The 7,735-nt window shown below is 37.2% G+C and overlaps 1 annotated feature.

Annotated features, from left to right (window-relative positions):
• Positions 6,727-7,388: an enhancer, noted in NCBI's record as "OCT4-NANOG hESC enhancer chr1:185668941-185669602 (GRCh37/hg19 assembly coordinates)". NCBI's record gives its function as "activates a minimal SCP1, AML or CMV promoter by ChIP-STARR-seq in primed H9 embryonic stem cells {active_cell/tissue: H9 hESC(primed)}" and the evidence as "EXISTENCE:reporter gene assay evidence [ECO:0000049][PMID:30033119]".

The raw sequence follows: 7,735 nt of genomic DNA, 5'->3' as shown, positions 1-7,735 counted from the left end.
TATGGGTTGAATTGTGACCTCCAAAAGCATATGTTGCAGCCCTAACCTGTGGTTCCTGTAATGTGACCTTATGTGGAAATAAAATCTTTGCAGATGTAAACAAATTAAGAGGAGGTCATTAGGGTGGGCCCTTAATTCAATATGACAGATGTTCTTATGAGAGGAAAAGATGACCATGTGAAGAGGTAGACACACAGGAAGAACGCTCTGTAGAGAGGGAGGCAGAGATTGGAGTTATGCTGCCATAAACTAGGGAAAACCTGGGGCTATCAGAAGTTTGAAGAAGCAAGGAAAGATCCTCCCCTAGAGGCTTTCAAGGTAACGTGGCCCTACCAACACCTTGATTTCAAACTTCTAGCCTCCAGAACTGTGAGATAATAAATTTCTGTTGTTCTAAGTCACCCAGTTTGTGGGAATTTGTTATGGCAGCTCCCGGAAACAAATATACTGTAAGTCATAAAGAGCCCAAGGAGGGATAGCTAGTTCTCTATGACTGAATGGACAACTGTACATCAGCAATGGTGTGAAACAAATATCTTCTTCGAAAAAGCATTTGGATGTGATGATCTCTAAAGATCTCTCCTGACTCTAAGATTCTCCAAATTCCCATACAGTAAAGTTTCCACACCAATAGATACATAAGATAGATATGTAGTTTATAGTTAGTGGGCTAGAAAGGCTAGACAACATATCTAACACATGCATGCATTTAAACCTCACATGCCTTATATCAGACATGCTCAGCTTCCCAGAACACCATAGATGTCTACATATCTTCATCCATTAATTCCAACCTTCCCTCAGAAAAGATATAGGAAGGAGATGGTGATAGATTAACTCCATAATAGTTATTTGGGGATTATCCACTATAGTAAAAATAGAAAATAAAATATGAATAGTATGACAAATTTGTGGTCTTGTGTCCTACCAAAATATCTCCTGCCTAGAGGTTTTTTTAAAAAAATAAAAAACACTGGGGTATATAACTACACTTTCTGAATTTAGGGCTGAGAGTCATAGAGTCCAAATTATTCAACTATTCTCTGCACTATCATAATAAAGCAAGCTCATGATTTCCCAAAAGATAGAAGGTACCATTGATACATTTTTTTTCTATGAAACGTTCACAATGTTTTAGGAAAGCTTTTAATGGTACATGATCTACATCTCTGTTTAATCTATGTTTCTGTTTCATGTTTACATAGTTTTATGTATGTCAATATGTTCTCACTTTTACAGAGTCTCTCTTGAATTGTAAACTATGAGAGAGAAAGAGACTCTCTTTTATAGATACAACATGACACAAGATACTTGGAGAATTTTTAAATATAGTAAATAGTGCTTTAGTTAAATGTTATTGTGTTTTGTCATAACCTGCAACTAATAGTGCTTTTTGATCCCCCTCATGGGGTTGTTGGGATGATTAAATATGACAGCTAGGGCAAGGCACTAGCACGGTGTCTAGCAATCAGTAAATCTCCATTAAATATCAGCTCCAGGTTTGATACTGAAACAAGTATTAGGGGTCAATATTTATGCTTAAAATTAAATATGCAAAATTGTAAGATTCTTACCCCTGTAGTGATATGGTGAGAAGAGGCAGAGCACAGAAGTTAGCACAAGCTTTAGAGCTCAACAGTCAGAGTTTGGGCCATGGCTGTTATACTCAGTAACTGTATGACCTCAGGAAGTTATCTGACTCCCAGCTCTTCAGTTATCATTAAAGAATTATTTTCAAAGTCATTAGAGATAGTGTTTATAAAGCACCTAATGTGACAACCAACACATAGTAAGCATTCAATAAATAGTAGCAGTAAATCCAAGGGGGGCTTCAGTCCATATTACCTCATCTCAAAGGATTCCTCTAAGTACTTGTCATTCTGTATACAACTCTTATTTTTATCTAATAATTTGATTTTCCCCAGATGGTTATTACATATTTATATAATGCCTATGTTCGTAAAAAAGCACATAATTAATTTTTTAAATGTATTAAATGCCCTGATAAGGAAACGCATCCAAAATTGAAAAAAGGAAGAAACAAAAAAGTAGATTGCAAGTTCTTCCAATATTTTATGGGTTTAAGATTTACCCAAGGGATTACCCAAGGGATTTCCCAAGGGATTATCCAGGAGAATATAATTTGATTTACTATATACTACTGATTAAAAGTCTCAAACGTAGTGACATTACCACGAAACTTATAAATTTTTGTCCAGTAAAAATGAAAATAAAGTCTGGCTTGTGGAACAGATTATCCCAAAGGTAATGGTATCCTGTAGGATATTAACCAGAATTTTTTAATGCAGTGTAGCAATCTTATCCTGACATTCCTTTATTAAATTGCTTATAAATGCCTAAGTCCTCAAATGCTTTTGCAACCAGCATAAACATCTTACTGATTCCTTCTTTAATAGATAAGCTGAATAGAATCTTTGACTTGTTTATTTTATATTTGCATGCAACTCATGGTTTTCATTTTCTTAAAATTATGTTAGTAGCTTTGAGAAAGCTTAGTAGAAAAAATAATTACCATAGTTAATATTTTAGAAAGTGAAAAATTATTTAGCAACATGAATGATCACTTTCTAATTAATCTCTTATAGCAGCCTTTTCTATGTGTTTTCTCATACCTGAGCATTCTTGTGTTCAGGCCACTGGCATGAGCAAGTACAACTGCCACTTGCTGCAGCAAGATAAGTCGGCTGAAGTTCTAAAGTCTCTTATACAGCTGTATGAGTAATGAGTTCAAAAATCACTCTAACAATTGCTATTGGCTTCCCTTTCTTTGCTTATTCCAATCCTTATTAATGGTCTGAGAGATAAGGCTCCTGTTACCACATGCACACAATGTCTGGCTAGCATCGCACATACGAGATATGGTTTCATTCCAGTTTTCCTGCCACCAGGGGAAATAAACAACAAAGTTGGACTCTGAAGGAATGGGCTTGTTGGTTTAGCCCATTTTGCACCTTGTTAATGTCTTACTCATCCATATAGTGACCATCTGGCAACACTTGGAGCCAGATTTCTGCTTAATTAAGTCATGTGAATTATCAGAGGCTTACATACCCAAAATTTAGAAGAAACAAAGGTGTGGACAATTCTAATCTGAATTTATTATTGTGTGACTTATTCAAAGTCAGATGATGCATATTTTCATGGACAAAAAAGTTGAGGTATATGATGAATTCTATAGATTCAAAATAGTAAGAACAGAAAAGGTATAAAAGGGAAAGTTATTCTCTTCACAGAAGGATTCTCCATGGTAAAAAATAATTCATAAAAGACCTTTTAAGGAGCAAAACCCCCTAATACTCTAAACTTTTCTTTTTCTCAACACAAATGCTTAAAGCAGTGTGGTACATTAAGCAAGACTTTGGCACAATTAGTAGTGTGCCACCTTAGAGAAACCTATTCATCTCACTCGGATAGGATTTCCTTATCCAAGGAATAAAGAAGCAGACCTAGTAGAACTCTAAGACACCAGCAAGTTCCATTTTATGACTTACAGACAGCTTTTTGAGAGGACACATTACATAAAATAATATATTCCTGAAGTAATGTGAGGAAAACAATTGCCAGAGGATGTCCATAGGGTCAACTCATTTGACTTAAGGAGAAAGGACCATGTCCTGTGATAGATCTACTCATGCTGCTAACTCCTTTTGTCTAACAGACAGAATAGAAAAAGAACACCAAATGAAGCAAGTTTTAAGGGTCTTAATTAGAGCTTTACCAATGACTAGTTGTTTGGTCTTGGGCATGTCACTTTGCCTCTTACAAAATGAAGACTTAAACTAATTCTCTCTTCCAGCACTAATTTTCATTGTCTACTCAATCGAAAGGTATTTAGTTAGTTGCAGGGGTAGCTAGATCTAGCCTATATTTTCCATTTACTGACACTGCTAGTAGGCTTTAGACACATGAATCCCAGCTCTGATGCTTACAAGCCTTATAACTTTGGGCAAATCAATTAAATTTGTAGACCCTCAGCTTCCTCATCTGTAAAATGAGAACAAAGATGCTATCTATAGCATATATTTTAAAGATTAAATGGCTAAGTTATTTAAACTGCCTGATACGGTAACTAGTATGTAGTTTTCACTCAATAAGCAGTAGTTGTTTTCAATGTTACAGCCAAGTTATGGTAAGACTTCTGAGCTGAAGAAAAAATGTTGCATAATTATGTTTTAAACTCTATCTTCAAACTGTTTATACTCTTTTTGATTCAGTGCAACTCGCTTGTAAATTCAAGATACTCTGTCTAGAATTGAAATTAAATTTTGGCTGTCACAATAATTCTGTTTCATGAGTGTACAAAGATTTAATAATACGTTTGTAATATTTTATTAGCTGCAAATGGAAAATACTACATACCTGTCTGTGGCTTTTCATAGTATTTTTTTAAGTCACTAAGCTAAATGTTTTCATTGACAATTATATAGGATGACAATAAGAGAGGATTAGGGTTGAACTGTTGAAGAAGAATGTTCCCTAAGCAAACTGTAAAGTCTCTTCAGTTGAAATAAATGTTTCAAAATAATGTTTGCATAATGTCAGTATTAATATTAATTCAATGATGTATTATTGTTTATAGGCCCTGAAAAATGTGGGTGGTGTGGACTTTTAGAAGCCGATTTGAGTTTCAATTTTTAAAATTTAAGCATTAAGCCTAAGATCTCAAGAAATGTGAAATGCACATTAGCTAAGAATTGTCCAATTTTATAAATTGATTCATAAAAGTTTATTATGACTTTTGTCCAAAGTCCAAAATAAATAACTCTAAGCTTAACATTGGTAACATTTCAGCTTTAGTTACTGTATAGTTATTTTCATTTAAGAGTGTATCAGTAATTTATCACTCTCTAATGCCTGACTCTATTACGGAACTTACTACTGTTGTGAAGGGGAAAAAAAATCCCTCTTAAGTGCATTGTGTCCAAAGAACATTTAGATTTTAAGAATAAAATAAATCTTCAAAATCATAAAAACAGGTGGTGAAAATGACAATACTACAATTTTTTGAATATTTACCTCTTATTGAGCACTCACTATGAGTCAGATATTAAGTACATGAGCATTTATGTTAATATTTCCATACTTGGTGAACAACCATGGAAGATAAAAATTATTTTCCCCATTTATCAGATAAGAAAACAAGACAGGAAGTTTGGTTACTTGCCCACAGCTACAAAGTTTTCAAATGACAAGGCAGAGAGTATTTTTGACCTAAAGTCTATTCTCTCTTTACATTCTTCTTTAATAGATTACGGCAAAGCTCTGGAACCTCTCATCTGCATTTCCACTCTACCCGCATACCTGTCACAAGCTGTATCTTCTGGCTCATCTCTGAGAGAGGAGGGGAAAATGAGAAGAGAGAGAGCTGGGTTGCTCCAGTTCATTTATTCAACTGTGCTAGCATATGGAATGTGATCTTTCCTGTCATCCCACAATACTGTCTAAGTCTTAAGTCCAGAACTGAGGGTAGAAGACACCTCATATGTTCTACATTCCAACTTCCTACCAGCATTTGGCATAATCCCTGTCACCACCAAATTGCAGAGAGTATTGATATCATAATCTTTAAAAATCCATCCCTTTATTCAACTGTCCTGTGTGCCAGACCTTCTTTTGATGGAGTGTCATGGAGGCCCTAAAGGGAATGACTGAGGGCTGGGGAAGGGGAAAGCATAATCCTAGCAGTAGATTTGAAGTTGGGCTTTATTTTAGATTTGGGTAAGGGGAAGTTATTGAAAGGTTTCAGAGCAGGACATAACTGGCATCAACCTATGTAAAATCTTGGGGTGAGACTGCAGTTGGAGAGTCAGGCTGTAGGTGATGCAGAACTGATGACTATGGGGTGGTGGTGGTGATAGTAAGGATTTGAATTTTAGTGAAAGTAGGTTCTGAGCCAGGGGAAGTGGTGGCACTTTGTCATTTGAAACTGGATTGGAGGAAGAAGGGCAGAGCTCACGTCACTTGTATGGAGAGAAAGGAGGAAAAGATCAGTAGGTGAGAGAAGGGGTGATGAGTTATTGCTTCATTCTTGGGGAAGAGGACCAAGGAAGCACCCCTGCCCCTTGGACCCAGTTTTGAGTCCAGGCTGAAGCCAGAGAGAAACAAAGAGAAAAAGGAGGAGCAACAAATGGAAGCAAAGGTCATGGGGTGAGGGCACTGCCAGGTCTTATAAGAAGACTCAGAGAAATCGTCATCTACGGTTTCAAGGAGCAAATGTCTGTGAAAAGAGTGCTATAACCCCACCTTCTACTGGGGAGGTAGTGGGAGATTTTCCTTCCAGAAGGCAAGTGAAAGAAACTCTGAGAAAATCCTTAAAGGTGCCTGCAGGAATGGGCATTATTTTCTGGCAAGATCCACCCTGGGCTGTAGAGACCACAAGTTCACATTCATCCTGGCACAGGAGCCAGGCTTGTTGAGGCCATCCTTGAATAAAGAGCATTCTCAGCAAAAAAGCATGTGGCATGTTTGCCTTTACATTCTGCTTCCCAATCTGGGGAAGAAGGGAGGGTTACTTAACATCTGTTCCTAGATTAAGAGATCCCAGAAGTAGGAAACCACATCTGCAAGGCTTGATGGGATTGTTTTGTGATGTGTCTAGGAAGAAAACAGGGAAAACCCCAACTCCATCCCAGTTTTCCATTGCCCTTGGAGGATATATAACACAGTATCACTCCTCTCATTCCTTTGGCTTCATATGAAGGTGCACAGAGATTAGCAGAAGAGCAGGAACACCAGGGGATGCCCAGACAGCCTGACCCAGAGAAGAGTTTAGAACTTTTCCTCTGGCAGCAATAAAGATATCAAAATGAAGACGAACAGTGACCCCTAAAAGCCACCTATAAGTCTCTATACAGAGACTACTATGTCAGCAAAGGCTAGCAGCATCAGACAGAAACAGGCTAAACCAGAATGAGGAGAGGACTCCTCTATCACTTGCTATTCAAGTCTGACCCTCCAAAACGCAGTATCAGCATCACCTTGGAATTATTGGCAGTGCAGAGTCTCAGGCCCCACCCATCAACCTCCTGAATCAGAATCTGCATTTTGTCAAGACCAGTAGGGGTTTCATATGCATATGAAAGTCTGAGAAACAATGCTGTAAACTACGGCTGTCATCAGTTAGGGGAGCAGAGCTTGCTCTCCGTTTCCACTGAGTTGCCTCCAGCAGGCACTGTGAGGACACATAGGAACCTAGGGTCTGAGGAGAGGTGGGAGGAAAGTTCCAAAGGGAAGAAAAAGAAGAAAGAGCGTATAAAAAAGTGCACATAATCCCATTTATTTACTTTTGCTGTTGTAGCCTAGGCTTTTGGTGTGATATTCAAAAAATCATTGCCAAGGCGAATGTCAAGGAACTTTCCCCTATGTTGTATTCTAGTTTTATGGTTTCAGGTCTTACATGTAGGTCTTTTATCCATTTTGAGTTCATTTTTGTATATAGTGTAAGATAAGGCTCTAATTTCACACTTTTGCTTGTGGAAATCTAGTTTTCCCAGCACCATTTATGGACGGGATTATCCTTTCCCCATTGTGTCCTCTTAGAGGCCTTGTTAAAAATAAATTGACTATATATGTTTAGATTTGTTTCTGGACTCTGTACTCTCCGTTCCATTGGTCTATGTCTCTGTTCTTATGCCAGTACCATATAGTTTTGTAATATAATTTACATTCAGGAAGTGGAGTGGCTTTAAGTTTGTTTTTCTTTCTCAGTATTGTT

This window comes from Homo sapiens, chromosome 1 (assembly GCF_000001405.40).
Source record: "Homo sapiens chromosome 1, GRCh38.p14 Primary Assembly".
NCBI classification, from domain to species: Eukaryota; Metazoa; Chordata; class Mammalia; order Primates; family Hominidae; genus Homo; species Homo sapiens.
Note: the sequence above shows the minus strand (reverse complement) of the source record. Positions and strands in the feature narration are given on the sequence as shown.